At 49.2% G+C, this 19,604-nt stretch overlaps 1 protein-coding gene across 16 annotated transcripts in view; it reads left to right on the top strand.

Annotated features, from left to right (window-relative positions):
• The window catches only part of ZNF541 (zinc finger protein 541), a 52,620-nt gene that overhangs the window by 13,742 nt on the left and 19,274 nt on the right, over nucleotides 1–19,604 (top strand). For 10 of the 16 annotated variants that reach the window (XM_011527369.3, XM_011527368.3, XM_017027351.3 and 7 more), the window contains 5 exons: nucleotides 3,614–4,018; nucleotides 10,083–10,338; nucleotides 13,588–15,442; nucleotides 18,617–18,675; nucleotides 19,233–19,392. In XM_011527369.3, the coding sequence (XP_011525671.1) occupies nucleotides 3,712–4,018; nucleotides 10,083–10,338; nucleotides 13,588–15,442; nucleotides 18,617–18,675; nucleotides 19,233–19,392 (2,637 nt within the window). In that variant the 5' untranslated portion in view covers nucleotides 3,614–3,711. Of the gene's footprint in view, nucleotides 1–3,613; nucleotides 4,019–10,082; nucleotides 10,339–13,587; nucleotides 15,480–18,616; nucleotides 18,676–19,232; nucleotides 19,393–19,604 lie in introns of those variants that run through there. The other 6 variants (XM_047439506.1, NM_001277075.3, XM_005259311.6 and 3 more) reach the window with 4 other exon arrangements.

The raw sequence follows: 19,604 nt of genomic DNA, 5'->3' as shown, positions 1-19,604 counted from the left end.
CAAAGTCACCTTTTTCTTAGGGTTTGCTTGGTTGCTATAAAGCTTTGACTGCTTCCCAGAGTTTTGTTAAAGTTGATTTTTTGTTTTTGGTGTTTCTATGGCAAGATGTACAGGGAGCTTTAAAATTACTAGTTGAGTCTGTCTTTCTTTCCTTCCTTCCTTCCTTCTTTCTTTCTTTTCTTTCTTTCTTTTTTTTGAGATAGAGTTTCACTCTGTTGCCCAGGCTGGAGTGCAGTGGCACGATCTCAGCTCACTGCAACCTCTGCTTCCCGGGTTCAAGTGATTCTTGTGCCTCAGCCTCCTGAGTAGCTGAGATTACAGGTGCCTACCATCATGCCCAGCTAAGTTTTTGTATTTTTAGTAGAGATGGGGTTTCACCATGTTTGTCAGGCTGGTCCCAAACTCCTGACCTCCAGTGATTTGCCCACCTCGGCCTCCCAGAGTGCTGGGATTACAGGCGTGAGCCACTGTGCCTGGCCCAGTCTTTTTATTTCTCATAGGTCTATTCAGAAATTCTGTTTCTTGGCTGGGCGCGGTGGGTCACGCCTGTAATCCCAGCACTTTGGGAGGCCGAGGCGGGTGGATCACGAGGTCAGAAGTTCAAGACCAGCCTCGCCAAGATGGTGAAACCCCGTCTGTACTAAAAATACAAAAAGTTAGCCGGGCGCGGGGGCGGGCACCTGTAGTCCCAGCTACTCGGGAGGCTGAGGCAGGAGAATGGCGTGAACCTGGGAGGTGGAGCTTGCAGTGAGCGGAGATGGCGCCACTGCACTCTAGCCTGGGCAACAGAGTGAAACTGTCTCAGGAAAAAAAAAAAAAAATTAGCTGGGCGTGGTGGTGGGCACCTGTAATCCGGCTGAGACAGAGAATTGCTTAAACCCGGGAGGCGGAGGATGCAGTGAGCTGAGATTGCGCCACTGTACTCCAGCCTGGGCGACAGAGCGAAACTCCATCTCAAAAAAAAAAAAGAAATTCTGTTTCTTCTTGAGTAAGTTTTGGTAATTTGTATCTTTCTAGCAGTTTGCCCATTTTAATCTGTTATCTAATTTAAATAACTAAGTTAATGTATCTAAGTTATCTAATTTTTTAATTATCTGAATACAGTTGTTTATAGTATTATTTTATTTCTATTTATTTATTTATTTATTTTTTGAGATGGAGTCTCGCTCTGTTGCCCAGGCTGGAGTGCAGTGGCACGATCTCGGCTCACTGCAAGCTCCGCCTCCTGGGTTCATACCATTCTCCTGCCTCAGCCTCCCGAGTAGCTGGGACTACAGGCGCCCACCACCATGCCCGGCTAATTTTTTGTATTTTTAATAGAGATGGGGTTTCACCGTGTTAGCCGGGATGGTCTCGATCTCCTGACCTCATGATCCGCCCACCTCGGTCTCCCAAAGTGCTGGGATTACAGGCGTAAGCCACCACGCCTGGCCTGTAGTATTCTTTTATAATCCTTCTTATTTTTTCTAAGGCCATTAGTGATGTGTTTCCTCTTTAATTCCTAGTTGCAGTACTATGAGTCTTTTCTCTCTTTTCCCTACAGTATTTTAAAGTAAACTCTGCTGCCCCACTCCCCCTGCCCATTTTGGGGGGAATAAATTCTACTAGTTTAGATGTTATGTGGTTTATTTTTCTTCTCTTGGTGGTTATACTTAGATTCTTTTAGTGTGCAAGCTTAAAAGTATGAAGTTACCATCATCTCTTTTTTTTTTTTCCCAATTGATTCAAAACTTTTAGTCATTTTTTGGACCAGGGTCTGTAAGGTAGATTCTTAGGCCTTGTGTGTAAAAGTCTATAAGCTCCCAGGCTGAAGTGATCCTCCTGCCTCAGCCTTCTGAATAGCTGGGACTACAGATAGACGCCACCACACCTGGCTGATATTTTAATTTTTTGTAGAAGCCAGTCTTGCTGTCTTGCCCAGGCTGGTCTCAAACTCTTGGCCTCAAGCAATCCTCCCTCCTCTGCCTCCCAAAGTGTTGGGGTTACAGATGTGAGCCCTGGCGCCCAGCCTCCTCCCTCCCTCTCTCATGCCTGTATGTTGAGCTCTGTGCTGGCTGACTTTTCCTTAGTCCACTGATGATATTCTTATTCTTATCTTCGAGGCTTGTTTCTGTTGAGAAGTTTGCCATCAGGGTAATTGTCATTCTTTTGTAGACTTGTAGAATGCTCAGCTTTGTCATCTCTCACTGGCTATTTTTTTCTGGTTCTTGGGGGTACTTTTCTAGGCTTGTGTGAAGCTTTTCTTTTCATTTATTTAGTTTTCCTGTGGATGGTTCAGCTCTTCCAGGGCCCCAGGCCTCCGTTTCCTGGGAACTCAAGGCCCTGTTTCCCTCACCCACGTGTCTGCTATCATCCCAGGTCCCAGACGGCAGGGCAGCATTTGATAATACAGAATACGAGCCATATATAATCTAAATTTCCTAGGAGCCACATTAAAAAGATAAGCAGATGAAGTTAATTTTAATAACATGTTGCATTTAGCCCATTATATGGAAAATATTACCATTCCAGGCTGGACTCAGTGGCTCACGCCTGTAATCCCAGCACTTTGGGAGGCCAAGGCAGGTGGATCATCTGAGGTCAGGAGTTCGAGATCAGCCTGGGAAACATGGTGAAACCCTATCTCTACTAAAAATACAAAAATTAGCCAGGTGTGGTGGCGTGCACCTGTAGTCCCAGCTACTTGGGATGCTCAGGCAGTAGAATCACTTGAACCTGGGAGGCAGAGGTTGCAGTGAGCCGAGATCCCGCCACTGCACTCCAGCCTGGGCGACAGAATGAGACTCCATCTCAAAAAAAAAAAAAAAGGAAAAGAAAAAAAATTATCATTCCACATTTAATCTATATAGAAACGTATTAAATTGACTTTTTTGGGTACAAAGTTTTCCAAATCCAGGTTGTATTTTACACTCACAGCCTGTCTCAGTTCAAGCCAGCCACATTTCAAGTGCTTCACAGGGCCATGTGCGCTGGTTCACACCTGTAATCCCAGCACTTTGGGAAGCCAAGGTGGGAGGATCGCTTGAGCCCAGGAGTTCGAGACCAGCCTGGGCAACATGGTGAGACCCCATATCTTAAAAAAAATTATCCATTTTCGATTTGATATCTGTAAAAAATTAAAAGAAAAAATCAAGTACTTCATAGCCACATGGAGCTAGTGGCCACCATATTGGACAAATGGCTCTAGGCCCTGTATCTGATTCTGATTTTCCCCTGGGGCCTACGTGAGCTTACACCTCCAGCATTGAGTTTTCTTGTTGCTGCTGGCACTTGGGATTTTTCCTGTCTTTTGACCTAGGCTATGTGTTAAAAAATTATCTTTTGTCATACATGTATATGTTTATAGCTGGAGCAAGAGGTCAGTTCAGTCCACCATGTTGCTGGAAGTACTTTTATTTGTTACAACAACCTTGTGAAGGAAGTACTCTTATGCCCAGTTTACAGATGAGGCACCTGGGGCTCGTGGAGCTTAAGTGACTTGCCCAAAGCCACATGGCTGTTATGAGGCAGAGAACAGACCCAGATCGAGGTCTGCTTGCATTGCAAGTCCGTGCTCTGCCCACAATGCTGTTTTGCCACCTAATAACTTTCATTCTTCTTGCTTCATTTTCAGGAATTAGTTGCCATCAAGGGCTCTCTCCTCCCTGTCTCCTTACATGGTTTTGCTTATCTGGAGAGTAGCTTTTGGCCAAGACCTGGCAGTGGAGAGCCATGGACCAGTACAGCCTTGGAGACGAGGGTGCCCTCCCATCAGAAATGCACCTCCCTTCATTTTCAGAGAGCCAAGGGCTCAACTGCAGCGACACCCTCAACCGGGATTTGGGTCCCAACACGCGAGGCTTTCTTTATGCTGGCCTGAGTGGTCTGGACCCGGACCCCAGCCTCCCAACGCCTGACATGTCCAGCGAGGTGCTGGAGGACAACTTAGACACCTTGTCCCTGTACTCCGGGAAGGACAGTGATTCTGTGAAGCTGCTGGAGGAGTACGCAGATTCGGAGTCTCAGGCATCCTTACAAGGTGAGGCTGTCACCTGGGTAGAAGGGCCCTGCAGGATGTTCGACAGTTTCTGTGGCCAGCTAGGGACTGATTCTGCATGGATTGGTTAAGAAAATTTTTCCCTCCTACAGGTGACTTAGGGAACAGTCACCTTTTTTCCTACTTGGGAATCATTCCCCAATTCTTTTTTTTTTTTTTTTTGAGATGGAGTCTTGCTCTGTTGCCCAGGCTGGAGTGCAGTGGCGCGATCTCAGCTCACTGCAAGCTCCGCCTCCTGGGTTCACACCATTCTCCTGCCTCAGCCTCCGGAGTAGCTGGGACTACAGGCGCCCGCCACCACGCCCGGCTAATTTTTTTGTATTTTTAGTAGAAACGGAGTTTCACTGCATTAGCCAGGATGGTCTTGATCTCCTGACCTCATGATCCGCCCGCCTCAGCCTCCCAAAGTGCTGGGATTACAGGCATGAGCCACCGCACCCGGCCAATTCTTTTTTTTTTTTTTTAGGCAGAGTACAGTGGTGCATTCTTGGCTCACTGCAACCTCTGGCTTCCGGGTTCAAGCAATTCTCCTGCCTCAGCCTCCCCAGTAGCTGGGATTACAGGCGCCTGCCACCATGCCCGGCTAATTTTTGTATTTTTAGTAGAGATGGGGTTTCATCATATTGGCCAGGCTGGTCTCGAACTCCTGACCTCAAGTGATCCTCCCACCTCCGCCTCCCAAAGTGGTGGGATTGCAGGCGTGAGCCACCACACTCGGCCCCCAATTCTTAGTAAAGGAAACAGAACACTCATTCTAGGGAATAATGTTCAGAAACTTAGGTGTCTGGGGATATCCTTATCTTTTGTGTGGTGTGTGGGCAGATGTTAGCATTTACTGAAGACTTTCCTTCCCATTACCACACCTTAGAGGCTGATGTCACATTTCCAGAATGAACTGGGGTCCGGTCCCTTCTGATCTTTGGTTGTCAGGCCTTCTTAGACCCCAGTGTCTTTATCCATAAAGCAGGTGGACAATAATATCCTCTCTGCTTCCCCCCAGAGTAAAACAAAAGAAGGAACTATTGTAAACACACTTCATAGACCTTAAAGCACTGGCGAGATATTCGTGGTTTTTTTGTTTGTTTTGTTTTCTTTTTTTTTGAGACGGAGTCTCGCTCTGTCGCCCAGGCTGGAGTGCAGTGGCACAATCTCGGCTCATTGCAACCTCTGCCTCCCAGGTTCAAGTGATTCTCCCGCCTCAGCCTCCTGAGTAGCTGGGATTACAAGTGTGTGCCACCACACCCAGCTAACTTTTGTATTTTTAGTAGTGAAGGGGTTTCACTATGTTTCCCAGTCTGGTCTCGAACTGAGCTCAAGCAATCTGCCTACCTTGGCCTTCCAAAGTGCTTGGGATTACAGGTGTGAACCACCACACCTGACCTCACTTGTAAATTTTTAAACGTGGGTAAAGTCAGACATACATAGTCTTGCAGAGATAATATTAAGTATATAATTCCATTTAAGTTGTAAGAGTTGGTGTATTTGCTTTCATATTGAAGGTAGACCTTCATACTGAGGGTCACTGAAATAGCTATTCCATTGGACTGTTAGACCATATTCTTGCTGTTTGGACTGTTAAAGTGTTTCTGTGAACAACTTTGTACATGTTGAGTTTTCTTTTGGATTAGTTCTTTGAATATTTTCCTCAAAGTCAGTTTACCCAGACGGAGCATTAAACAATTTTATAGCTCTGGCCGGACATGGTGGCTCATGCCTATAATCCTAGTACTTTGGGAGGCTGAGGTGGGCGGATCGCTTGAGATAAGGAGTTCCACTCCAGCCCAGCCAACATGGCGAAACCCCATCTCTACTAAAAATACAATAATTTGGCCAGGCGTGGTGGCTCACGCCTGTAATCCCAGCACTTTGGGAGGCCGAGGCAGGCGGATCATGAGGTCAGGAGTTCAAGACCATCCTGGCTAACATAGTGAAATCTGTCTACTAAAAATACAAAAATTATCTGGGTGTGGTGGTACGTGCCTGTAATCCCAGCTACTTGGGAGGCTGAGGCAGGAAAATCGCTTGAACCAGGGAGTCGGAGGTTGCAGTGAGCCGAGATTGCACCACAGCACTCCAGCCTGGCAACAGAGCAAGACTCCGTCTCAAAAAAAAAAAAAAAAAAAGAATTAGCCTGGCATGGTGGTGGGTGCCTGTAATCCCAGCTACTCGGGAGGCTGAGGCAGGAGAACTGCTTGAATCTGGGAGATGGAGGTTACAGTGAGCTGAGATCATGCTACTGCACTCCAGGCTGGGCAACAGAGTGAGACTCCATCTCAACAAATAAATAAATAAATAAATGTTAAAAAACTGTAGAGCCCTTATAACACTGGTTTCTAAGAAGATCAAGTGACTTCCCAGGCTAGTTCCTCTGTTTGCCTGTTTTTCAGTGTCCTTGCCAATTTTTATTTATTTATTTATTTTTTTGAGACGGAGTCTTTCTCTGTCACCAGGTTAGAGTGTAATGGTGCAATCTTGGCTCACTGCAACCTCCACCTCCCGGGTTCAGGCGATTCTCCTGCCTCAGCCTCCCGAGTAGCTGGGATTACAGGTGTCCCCCACCACGCCCAGCTAATTTTTGTATTTTTAGTAGAGACGGGGTTTCACCATCTTGGCCAGACTGGTCTCAAACTCCTGACCTCATGATCCACCCTCCTCGGCCTCCCAAAGTGCTGGGATTACAGGCATAAGCCACCGTGCCCGGCCTCCTTGCCAATTTTTAAAAACGTTTTGTTTTCTAGTTTTATAGTTGCTTTAATAGGCTTTTTTTTTTTTTTTTTTTTTTTTTTTTTGAGATGGAGTCTCGCTCTATCGCCCAGGCTAGAGTGCAGTGGTGCGATCTCGGCTCACTGCAAGCTCCGCCTCCCGGGTTCATGCCATTCTCCTGCCTCAGCCTCCCTAGTAGCTGGGACCACAGGCGCCCGCCACTGCCCCCAGCTAATTTTTTGTATTTTTAGTAGAGACGGGGTTTCACCATGTTAGCCAGGATGGTCTCGATTTTAATAGGCATTTTTAAGTGACTGAGTAAGGCTAAGGACTTTTGCCTGAGGGAGCCCGGTTTTTCCTTGTTGAAACTGTTGGAGTTATTTGACTACTCATTATAGTAATTTCTCAGAGGACAAAGACAAAGGCCAAGCAAGTTCCATGACAAATGGCCACAGGCAGGATTGGGAGGAGAGTCTAGGCCTCAAGACTCCCAGCCCAGTTTCCCTTCTGCTGTGTCTGTCACACTGCATCTCATGAGCCACAGAGAATTTGCACGATTGGATCCTTTAGAGCAACCTCCTGCTCTTCCCATGCCCTGGCCCATTGAATTCTTGGATCCCATCTCCATAGTATCCCTGATAAATTATTATTTCCAAACTTGCCATCTTGGCTGGGCACAGTGGCTCATGCACTTTGTAATCCCAGCACTTTGGGAGGCTGAGGTGGGAGGATCGCTTGAGGCCAGAAGTTTGAGACTAGCCTGGCCAACATGGCAAAACCCCGTCTCTACTAAAAATATAAGAATTAGCCTGGCATGGTGGCAGGCGCCTCTAATCTCAGCCACTCAGGAGGCTGACGCAGGAGAATCACTTGAACCCAGGAGGCAGAGGTTGCAGTGAGCCAAGATGGCGCCATTGCACTCCAGCGTGGGTGACTGAGTGAGACTCCATCTCAACAAACAAACAAACTTGCCATCTCATAAGGCAGTTTAAGCCAGGTGCTATGTATGGTTCACGCCTGTAATCCCAGCACTTTGGGAGGCCAAGTCAGGAGGATTGCTTGAGTCCAGGAGATTGAGACTAACCTGGGCAACATAGTGAGACCCCATCTCTACAACAAATAACAATTTAAAAATCAGCTGGGGTGGTGGTGGCCCGTGCTACTCAATAGGCTGAGGTGGGAGGATCACTTGAGACCAGGACTTAGAGACTGCAATGAGCTGTGATCGCACCACTGTACTGTAGCCTGGGTGACAGAATAAGACCCTGTCTCAAGAAATAAAAATAAAAATTAGCTGGGCATGGTGGTGTGCACGTGTAGTCTCACCTGCTTGGGAGGCTGAGTCAGAAGGACTGCTCACGCCCAGGAGTTCAAGGCTGCGGTGAGCTATGATTGCGTCTGTGAATAACCCCTGCACTCTAGCCTGGACAACATAGTGAGACCCCATCTCTATCAAGAAAATAATAAGAAATAAGAAGTTAAAAAGGCAGGCTGGGCGCGGTGGCTCACACCTGTAATCCCAGCACTTTGGGAGGCTGAGGTGGGTGGATCACCTGAGGCCAGAAGTTCGAGACCAGCCTGGCCAACATGGTGAAACCCCATCTCTACTAAAAATACAAAAGTTAGTTGGACATGGTGGCAGGTACCTGTAGTCCCAGCTACTGCAGAGGCTGAGGCTTGAACCTGGGAGGCAGAGGTTGCAGTGAGCCGAGATTGCGCCACTGCCCTCTAGCCTGGGCAACAGAGTAAGACTCAGTCTCAAAAAAAAAAAAAATTAAAAAAAAAAAGACAGTCTAATCCACCTTTCAGGTCAATCTAAAAAGTAGAAAAATCTTTTATTATTCCTTCATCTAACATACAGTTATTGAGTGCCTGTGAGTGCCAGAATGGGAACTCTCGCATCTGAGAACACAGCAGTGAGCAAGGCCAAACCCTATGTTTCCAGTGGTGTGAGGTCAGCTTCCCTTTAATTTTCATTCACCAAGCCTAGCTCTACAACAAATAACAATTTAAAAATCAGCTGGGAGTGGTGGTGGCCCGTGTAGTCCCAGCTACTCAGTAGGCTGAGGTGGGAGGATCACTTGAGCCCAGGACTTAGAGACTGCAATGAGCTGTGATCGCACCACTGTACTTAGAGCAAGACAGAAGCAGTCTGCTGTCTCCTGTATACACTGGCCCTTCAGATATTTGAAGACGTCTGACCTCTCCAAACTGAATATTCCCAGTTCCTTTAACTATTTCTTGGGTGATGTGATTCATAACTATATATTTTATCATTTTATCCAAGGGATACATAAAATATAAACAATTTACCTATACAAAAAGAGGAAAATAAAACCAGCTAATAATCCTACTAGTCCATCTGATTCTTTCTTTCTTTTCTTTCTTTCTTTTCCTTTCTTTTTCTTTTTCTTTCCTTTCTTTCTTTGCTTCTCTCCTTATCTTTCTCTTTCTCTTTCCTTCTTTCCTTCCTTCCTTCCTTTCTTTCTCTTTCTCTCTCTCTCTTTCTCTCTCTCTTTCCTTCCTTCCTTCCTCCTTCCTTCCTTCCTGTCTTTCTTTCTTTCTTTTTCTTTTTCTTTGACAGAGTCCCACTCTGTCGCCCAGGCTAGAGTGCAGTGGTGCTATCTCAGCTTACTGCAGCTTCCGCCTCCTGGGTTCAAGCAGTTCTCGTGCCTCAGCCTCCCAAATAGCCGGGATTACAGACACACACCACCATGCCCAGCTAATTTTTGTATTTTTGGTAGAGACGGGGTTTCACCATGTTGGCCAGGCTCGTCCTGAACTCCTGACCTCAAATGATCCGCCTGCTTCAGCCTCCCAAAGTGCTGGGATTACAGGTGTGAGCTACCACACCCAACCCAGATATTAGGTTGTTTATAACATTTCACCAGGAAAAGCAGTATGACAGTTTACTCCCTTGCAGCTAGATCTTTGTACAAAGCTACATTTATTTCCTTATGTGAAAACCCCAAAAACAGAATTGGCTGGGTGTGTGCAAGGATTTCTACTTTTCCAAGGTTTTGGATAATATATTTCTAATTGCCGTTCCAAGAGTACCAGGTGATGGTGTGGTCATAAAGCCCAGCCCATTGTGGTCATGCTGCTCTGGAAGGGCTTCAGTCTGCAGTCATCCCTCCACACGTGGCACCAAGTCCGGGTGCCATCCTGCAGGGCTTCTGTTCCCCTCACCTGCTCCTGAACCTTGTTTACTTTGTGTGGAGCAAGAGTTCTCGCGCAACACTTACAAGGCCACCATGGTTCTAAGAGGTGTAGAGTGCCTTAGTCGTGCTTTTCGCTTGGTTGCCTTGGCTGTGTATAACCTGTGCTTTCTCCCTCTGTTTAGACCTGGGGCTAGGTGTGCTTAAGGCTAAAGAGGCTGACGAAGGAGGAAGGGCCACCTCGGGGAGTGCCAGGAAAGGAAAGCGGCAGCACAGTTCCCCTCAAAACCCACTTCTGGACTGCAGCCTGTGCGGGAAGGTGTTCAGCAGCGCCAGTTCTCTGAGCAAGCACTACCTGACACACAGCCAGGAAAGGAAGCACGTCTGCAAAATCTGCAGCAAGGCCTTTAAGCGCCAGGACCACCTGTATGTGGGAGTCTGGTCAGAAAAACGTCTGTTCAGGGGCTGGGGGTGGGGACATGTTCCTGGGTCTTCTTCCTATTCTCCCAGATCAACCTGCTGTCTCGTCCTCTGTTGGGTTTTCCAGACGTGTATTACCTCTGCTCAGCCGCAGCCACAGCCACTCCATGCTTTTTTTTTTTTTTTGTCTGTCATCCGGGCTGGAGTGTAGTGGCATGATCTCGGCTCACTGCAACCTCCGCCTCCCGGGTTCAAGTGATTCTCCTGCCTCAGCCTCCTGAGTAGCTAGGATTACAAGCGCCCGCCACCACACCCAGCTAATTTTTGTATTATTTTTAGTAGAGACAGGGTTTCACCATGTTGGCCAGGCTGATCTTGAACTCCTGACCTCAAGTGATCCTCCCGCCTTGGCCTCCCAAAGTTCTGGGATTACAGGTGTGAGCCACCGTGCCCAGCCCACTCCGTTCTTCTCACACCATCAGAGCGCAGGGAAGAGAGTGGGCGCTGCTGTCCCAGCCCCTAAATTCACGCCTGTGAGGAAGCCCCTGCTTCTGTTTGCAGATGGGCTGCTTGTGGGTTAAAAACGCCTAACAGCTGGCTTCTGAGTCAATTGTGTCATGGGAGGAGTTGGGCTAACTTTATAGAGCTATGTCCTGAGTCTCTGGTAGGTGTCTGAGGAAAACGGATCTGTGTTCTCTGTGTTTTGGGATAGCACGAGACAGGAAAGATGAGACGCCTGCTTCTAGAACATGGCAATGGAGAATTAACCCTTGTTTTTCTTTTTTTTTCTTTTTTTTTTTTTTTTTTTGAGATGGAGTCTTGCTCTGTCACCCAGGCTGGAGTGCAGTGGCACGATCTCGGCTCACTACAACCTTCACCTCCCAGGTTCAAGCGATTCTCCTGCCTCAGCCTCCAGAGCAGCTGGGACTACAGGCGCATGCCACCCCGCCCAGCTAATTTTTGTATTTTTAGTAGAGATGGGGTTTCACCATATTGGCCAGGCTGGTCTCAAACTCCTGACCTTGTGATCCACCTGCCTCAGCCTCCCAAAGTGCTGGGATTACAAGCGTGAGCCACCGCACCCGGCCCCAGCTTTGTTTTTCTTTTCTATTTTTTTTTTTGTTTTTTTTTCTTTTTTAAAAAACTCATTCTTTTCCTTTTAACTTTTGACTTAAAAAGTGTCAGGAGCAAAATTTCCTTTTTTTTTTTTTTTGGACAGTCTTGCTCTGTCACTCAGGCTGGAGTGCAGAGGTGTGATCTCAGCTCACTGCAAGCCTCTGCCTCCTGGGTTCAAGTGATTTTCCTGCCTCCTCATCTTGAGTAGCTAGGACTACAGGCATGCACTATCATGCCTGGCTAATTTTTGTATTTTTAGTAGAGACAGGATTTCTCAAGTGATCTGCGTGACTCGGCCTCCCCAAAGTGCTGGGATTACAGGTGTGAGCCACCGCTTAATGTCTTGGAAATGATAAGCTTGTCTTGCCTGTGGGGGAAAGAAAGACACATGTTTTTCAAACCAGGAGACCTGCAAGTGGGAGATGAAAGTACTTAGCATTCTTATGGGGCTCCTCCCTTTCACAAGGGGCTTTGACTAATCCATCTTTCATCTTATCCTCTCACCCACACCTACCCCAGGAAAAGGAGCCAATTTGCTCATGTCACAAGTTGGTAATAGCTGGGGGTAGAACTTAGGTCTCCTGATTCCCTCTCTGTTGCTTCCCTCAGACAGAGGCTGAGGGTGAGCCTTTGGGGAAAGACTTTATGATTTAGTCCACATCGACTAGGACTGTCCAGAGCAGGGCTGTTGGGGGCCCAGAGGGTGATGTACTCCTCTGCTTATATTTATAATGTGTTAATGCAGAGGTAGGTGTGATGCAATACATATTTACATGCATTTCTGTTTGCAGAAACTATAGGCACATTTGGCTGTTTGGCTCTATAATGTTTCTATGGATTGGGCCTCTGTAAATTGGCTTCTTTGCTGTGGGGGGTTCCAGGTAGCATCTTCTTAGGGGTCTCCTACGGTAAGGCACAGATTCCTTTGTTAAAGGAAGGATCGTCCCCAAGTTAGCATCTCCTCCAGTCTATTCTGCAGAATTCTGGTTCTCAGGAATGCTAATAGGGGCTTTTTGAAAACAAAACCAAAAACAGTTCTCTGGGCAAATAAGTTTGAGAGACACTGAAAGTTAAACAGGTCTCTCTCTGTGTGGCTTTTACATTTGCTACTGTGTGCCGGCTACAGTGGCTCACGCCTGTAATCTCAGCACTTTGGGAGGCCAAGGCAGGCAGATCACTTGAGGGTCAGGAGTTCGAGACCAGCTTGGCCAACAAGGCAAAACCCCGTCTCTACTAAAAATACAAAAATTAGCTGGGCGTGGTGGCACGCACCTGTAGTCCCAGCTACTTGGAGGCTGAGGCACAAGAATCGCTTGAACCTGGGGGGCAGAGTTGCAGTGAGCCGAGATCGTGCCATTGCACTCCAGCCTGGGTGACAGAGCAAGACTCCGTCTCAAAAACAAAAAATTAATTAATTAAATTTGCTACTGTGCATCGTGAACCTCCAAGGAGTGAATGGTGTTTTTTCAAAACTTATTTATTAGCTGTGCCAAAGTCCTTGAGGAGCAACTCTGGAGGTCTTTGTGTTCCTTGGGAACCCACTCTGGGGAAATCTGATCTGGCCTCAGTGGATTTTTTTTTTTGTATTTTTTAAAATTTTATTTATTTGTTTGTTTGTTTATTGAGATAGAGTCTCACTCTGTCACCCAGGCTGGAGTGCAGTGGTGTGATCTCGGCTCACTGCAATGCACTTCATCTCCTGGGTACAAGTGATTCTCTTGCCTCAGCTTCCCCAGTAGCTGGGATTACTGGCATGTGCCACTACACCCAGCTAAATTTTTTGTATTTTTAGTAGAGACGGGTTTTACCATGTTGGCCAGGCTGGTCTCAAACTCCTGACCTCAAGTGATCCACTCACCTCGGCCTCCCAAAGTGCTGGGATTACAGGCATGAGCCACTGTGCCCCGCTGGTTTTTTTTTTTTTTTTTACTTTTCTGTAAGGGGTTTGCTTAAAGGTGAGGGGAGAGGAACTCCCCTGCCAGATGGCTTTGACCGAAGCAGGGTTTGCTGGGTGGTCTTTCCTCGTGGGGGCTGAGTACAATTTCTGAATTGTGGTGCAACTGTACCACAGACTTTTGGGGGCCACCAGGGTCCTACAGCAGAAAGCCCGGTCCCAGGTGCCCCGGTGACGCCCCTGCTTGTGTCTGGCTCCAGGACCGGGCACATGCTCACCCACCAGAAGACAAAGCCCTTCGTGTGCATCGAGCAGGGCTGCAGCAAGAGCTACTGCGACTACCGCTCTCTGCGCCGGCACTACGAGGTCCATCACGGCCTGTGCATCCTGAAGGAAGCCCCCCCGGAGGAAGAGGCCTGCGGGGACTCCCCCCACGCCCACGAGTCGGCCGGCCAGCCGCCCCCCAGCAGCCTGCGGTCCCTGGTGCCCCCAGAGGCCAGGTCCCCCGGCTCCCTCCTGCCCCACCGGGACCTCCTGCGCCGCATCGTGAGTAGCATCGTCCACCAGAAGACCCCTTCTCCTGGCCCAGCCCCGGCGGGGGCTTCAGACAGCGAAGGGAGGAACACTGCCTGTCCCTGCCCCGCCTCATCGGGGTCCTCGTCCTGCACCCCAGCCGGCCCCCACGCGGCCCCAGCAGCGCTGGACACCGAGCTTCCCGAGGAGCCTTGCCTCCCACAGAAAGAGCCGGCCACTGACGTGTTCACAGCCCCTAATTCCAGGGCCGCCGAGAACGGCGCCCCCGACCCGCCAGAGCCGGAGCCAGATACCGCGCTGCTCCAGGCCCGGTCCACCGCGGAGTGCTGGCCCGAAGGCGGCTCCGTGCCTGCCTGCCTGCCTCTCTTCCGAGGCCAGACGGTCCCTGCCAGTTCCCAGCCATCGAGCCACAGCTTCCAGTGGCTCCGGAACCTGCCGGGCTGTCCCAAAAGCAAAGGCAACAACGTGTTTGTTGTCCACAAGCCCTCGGCCGTGCCCTCGCGGGAGGGCTCCGAGTCTGGCCCGGGACCCAGCAGCGGAAGCCCCTCGGAGGAGTCCCCGCCCGGCCCCGGCGGTGGCCTGGAGGATGCTCTGCCCTTCCCTGCCGCGCTCCTCAGGGTCCCCGCGGAGGCCCCGAGCGACCCCAGGTCGGCCAGCGGGGAAGATGACCCCTGCGCCCCCAAGAAGGTCAAGGTCGACTGCGACTCCTTCCTGTGCCAGAACCCCGGGGAGCCCGGCCTCCAGGAGGCCCAGAAGGCAGGCGGGCTCCCTGCGGATGCCTCGCCGCTCTTCCGCCAGCTCTTCCTCAAGTCGCAGGAACCTCTTGTGAGCCACGAGCAGATGCAGGTGTTCCAGATGATCACCAAGTCCCAGCGGATCTTCTCCCATGCCCAGGTGGCAGCAGTCTCCTCCCAGCTCCCTGCGCCCGAGGGCAAACCAGCCGCCCTGAGGCCGCTGCAGGGGCCGTGGCCGCAGCAGCCCCCACCACTGGCTCCTGCTGTGGACTCTCTCCACGCCGGCCCTGGAAACCCCGAGGCAGAGGGCTCCCCAGCCCGCAGGAGAAAAACCACACCCGGGGTTCCCAGAGAGGCCTCCCCCGGCAGCACGAGACGAGACGCAAAGGGGGGACTGAAAGTGGCCGCGGTTCCAACGCCCCTTGCAGCACCGTCTCTGGACCCTTCCAGGAATCCAGACATCTCTTCTCTGGCCAAGCAGCTGCGATCCTCTAAAGGGACCTTGGACCTGGAGGACATCTTCCCCTCCACAGGCCAACGGCAGACCCAGTTAGGTGGGGAGGAGCCACCAGGAGCCTCGCTGCCAGGGAAGCAGGCCCCAGCCGAGAATGGCGCGGCTTCAAGGATCACAAAAGGTGAAAAGGGCCCAGCCTGCTCCCGGGGTGGAGGCTACCGGCTCTTGGGCAACCCCAGGGCCCCGCGATTCTCCGGCTTCCGGAAAGAGAAGGCGAAGATGGATATGTGCTGTGCGGCTTCTCCGAGCCAGGTAGCCATGGCCTCCTTCTCATCGGCCGGGCCCCCGGCAGATCCCTCCAAGTCCAAGCTGACAATATTCAGCAGAATCCAGGTACCAGCTCTCTCTCACGTGGCCTGACCAGAGTGGAGTGAGTTTCCTTTGCATTTGTTAGTTGTCCAGGCATTTTATTTCATTTCAGAGAGTCCCCAGATGCAATTTTACAGAGGAAGGAATTAAGGTTCCGAAAGATTGTGGTTTTCCCCACTAAAAAAAAAAAGACCAGAATGAGGCCAGGTGAGGTGGCTTATGCCTGTAATCCCAGCCCTTTGGGATGGGAGGCTGAAGTGGGGAGACTGCTTGAGCTCAGGAGTTCGAGATCAGCCTAGGCAACATGGCGAAACCCAGTCTCTACCAAAATTTTAAAAAAGTAGCTGGGCGTGGTGGCACACGCCTGTGGTCCCAGCTACTCGAGAGGCTGAGGTGGGGGAGAATCGCTTGAACCTGGAAGATGGAGGTTTCAGTGAGCTGAGATTGTGTCTCTGCACTCCAGCCTGGGCAACAGAGCAAGACCCTGTCTTAAAAAAAAAAAAAAAGATCAACATGAGGATATCCCAGAGTTGTTCAAAACACTGTTATCTCACAAAGCCTTTTTTGCTTTTTTTTTTCTCTTGTTTCCCTTTGGATTTGCCTTTTTAGAATCTTCAGAGGATATGAAGGTAGATGCTCTCTTTCCTTTAAAGATTCCTGCTTGAAATGGCCATGTGTTTTCTGATTGTGAGTCTTGGTTTCCACAAGCACAAGTGGGCACCTGCATCGTGCCCCACACTTAAGCACATTGATAATTATTCACTGGTTCCTCCAGATGTTGTGTTTGGAGGGCCTGGTCCAAAGAGCTCATCCAGGTCTCCTGACTCCATGTCCAACCTGGGCAACATGGCGAAACCCTGTCTCTACCAAAATTTAAAAAAAATTAGTTGGGCATGGTGGTGCACGCCTGTGGTCCCAGCTACTCAGGAGGATGAGTAGCTTCCCATCATACCACAGCTACCTCATTTTTGTTTTGTTAACATCTTTATTATTCAGGTGCCAAATAATGCACCATTTTATTTTTTATATATTTTTTAGAGATGGAGGGGGTCTCGCTATGTTGCCCAGCCTGGTCTTGAACCCCTGGGCTCAAGCAATCCTCTCATCTCGGCCTCCTAAAGTGTTGGGATTACAGGCATGAGCCACCATGCCCAGCCAAATCCACCACTTTATTTTATTTTTTAAATTTATTTTATTTATTTATTTATGATGGAGTCTCACTCTGTCGCCCAGGCTGGAATGCAGTGGTGCTATCTCAGCTCATTGCAACCTCCGCCTCCTGGGTTCAAGCAGTTCTCTGCCTCAGCCTCCGAGTAGCTGGGATTACAGGCATGCGCCACCACATCTGGCTAATTTTTGTGTGTTTAGTAGAGACGAGGTTTCACCATCTTGGCCAGGCTGGTCTTGAACTCCTGACCTCGTGATCCACCCGCCTCAGCCTCCCAAAGTGCTGAGATTGCAGGTGTGAGCCACTGTGCCTGGCCAAATTTATTTTTGAGACGGAGTCTCTCACTCTGTTGCCCAGGCTGGAGTATAGTGGTGCAATCTTGGCTTACTGCAGCCTCTGCCTCCCAAGTTCAAGCAATTCTCCTGCCTGGGCCTTCCAAGTAGCTGGGATTACAGGCACACATCACCATGCCCAGCTAATTTTTGTATTTTTAGTAGAGCCAGGGTGTCACTGTGTTGGCCAGGCTGGTCTTTCCTGACCTCAGGTGATGTGCTTGCCTCGGCCTCCCAAAGTGCTGAGATTACAGGCATGAGTCATGGTGCCTGGCCTGAATACACCATTTTAAAGTGTAGCGTTGGGTAATTTGTAGTATATTCACAAGATCGTGCAACCATCCCCACTCTTTGCCAGAACAGTTTCATCTCCCCAAAAGGAACCCCACATTTCTTAGTTGTCACCCACAATCTCGCCCTCCCCCCAGGGCCTGGCAGCCACGAGTCTCCTTTCTGTCTCTGTGGATGTGTCTGTTCTGGACATTGCATATGAGTGGAATCATGCACTCTGTGGCATTCGTATCTGGCTTCCTTCACTCAGCATGACGTTTTCCAGGCTCATCCGTGGGGTGGCAAACGGCAGAGCTGCATTCCTTTCCATGACTGAGTGATCCTCTGTTGGATGGATAAGGCCGCGTTTTATTTGTCTGTTCATCAGTGGATGGACATTTGGGTTGTTTCCACTTTTTGGCTATTTTGAATATGGTGCTGCTGTGAATATTCACCCATGTACAAATTTTTATGGGGATTTATGTTCTAGGAGTAGAATCGCCAGGTCGTACAGCAGTTCTGTTTTAGGTCTGAGGAACTACTAGGCTGTTTTGCTTGTTTCCTCTTCCCACCCACAGTGTATGAGGGCTCCACATTCTCCATGTCCTCACTAACACTTGTTATTGTCCGTGGTTTGTTTAAATTATAACTACCCTGGCGGGTGTGAAGCAGTATCTCATTGTGGTTTTGATTTGTATTTCCCCGTGGCTGCTGACGTTGAACACCTTTCTGTGTTCTTATTGGCCATCTGTGTATCTTTCTAGAAGAAATGTCTGTTCAGGTCCTTTGCTTATTTTTTAAAATCAGATTACTATTTTTTGAGTTCTCTATATATTCTGGATGCAAGACCCTTATCTGACACATGACTTGCAAATATTCTTTCATTTTGTGGTCTGTCTTTTCACTTTATTTATGATACCATTTGCAGGACAAAAGTTTTTATTTTTTATTTTTTATTTTTTTTTGAGACAGGGTCTCACTGTCACTCAGGCTGGAGTGAAGTTGTACGATCATGGCTCACTGCAACCTTGAACTCCTGGCTCAAGTGATTCTCCCACCTCAGCCTCCTGAGTCGCTGGGACCTCAGGCCCATGCCAGTATGCCAGGCCAATTTTTGTATTTTTTGTAGAGATGGGGTTTTGCCATGTTGCCCAGGCTGGTCTCAAACTCCTGGGCTGAAGCAATCCTCCCACCTCGGCCTCCCAAAGTCCTGGGATCACAGGCATGAGCCACCACGCCTGGCTAAAAGTTTTACATTTTGATGAAGTCTAATTTGTCTGTTTTGCTTTGGTGTCTTATCTAAGAAACCACTGTCTAATCCAAGGTCATGAAGATTTACTCTGATGTTTTCTTCTAAAAGTCTGTAATTTGAGCTCTTCTTGCCTCTTCATTTTGGATGTGTTGGTTCAGATGCATTTTCATCTTCAGGGTGGAAACATCTACAGGCTCCCCCATCCGGTGAAGGAAGAGAATGTGGCAGGCAGAGGGTAAGTTAAGAAGCCCCCGATCCTGCATGCACCCTGGCAGGAGTCCTCTGGCCTTCCTGTGCCGGCCCTGGACAAGTGAGTGGGGAGGATGCTTTCAGTCCTAATGGGATTAGGGTACAGCCTCCATTTTATAGGGTTTATCAAGAGTAGTCAGGCTGGACGCGGTGGCTCACGCCTGTAATCCCAGCACTTCAGGAGGCTGAGGCAGGGGGATCATTTGAGGTCAGGAATTCGAGACCAGCCTGGCCAACATGGTGAAACTCTGTCTCTACTAGAAATATAAAAATTAGCCACGTATATTGGCACACACCTGTAATCTTAGCTACTTGGGAGGCTGAGGCACGAAAATCACTTGAACCCAGGAGGTGGAGGTTACAGTGAGCCGAGATGGTGCCACCGCACTCCAGTCTGGGCAACAGAGTGAGACTCCATCTCCAAAAAAAAAAAAAAGTCAGTGGATTGGAGTTATAGACAAAAAAGAAAAAAAAACAACAAAAAATCAGTGATCAAGGACAGAGTCCTAATCTCCCACTCTTCTTTCCTGCCATGTCCCACAGTAACCAGCAAAACGGCAGTCCCACAGACTGGACGAAGCCCAGGAGCACTTTTGTCTGCAAGAACTGCAGCCAGATGTTTTATACGGAGAAAGGGCTGAGCAGCCACATGTGTTTTCACAGCGACCAGTGGCCGTCACCTCGAGGGAAGCAGGAACCGCAGGTGAAGGGGGACGACCAGTGGCTTGGTGGTTACTGGGTTTCTGGCAGGCCTGTGGGGAGTAAACGAGATTGGTGTCACTTATCTCAGGATGGGGACGTCACTCTGGGTCGGGGGCTGGAGTCAGGCTGTGTGGCTCTCCAGGGGCAGGCCATTGCCATGGGCTGCAGCAGCTCTCCAGCTTGGTCCATGCCACAGACTCACTGCTGTTTTCT

The sequence above is a fragment of the Homo sapiens genome, chromosome 19, assembly GCF_000001405.40.
Source record: "Homo sapiens chromosome 19, GRCh38.p14 Primary Assembly".
Lineage (NCBI taxonomy): Eukaryota > Metazoa > Chordata > Mammalia > Primates > Hominidae > Homo > Homo sapiens.
This window is presented reverse-complemented; position numbering and strand designations above follow the sequence as displayed.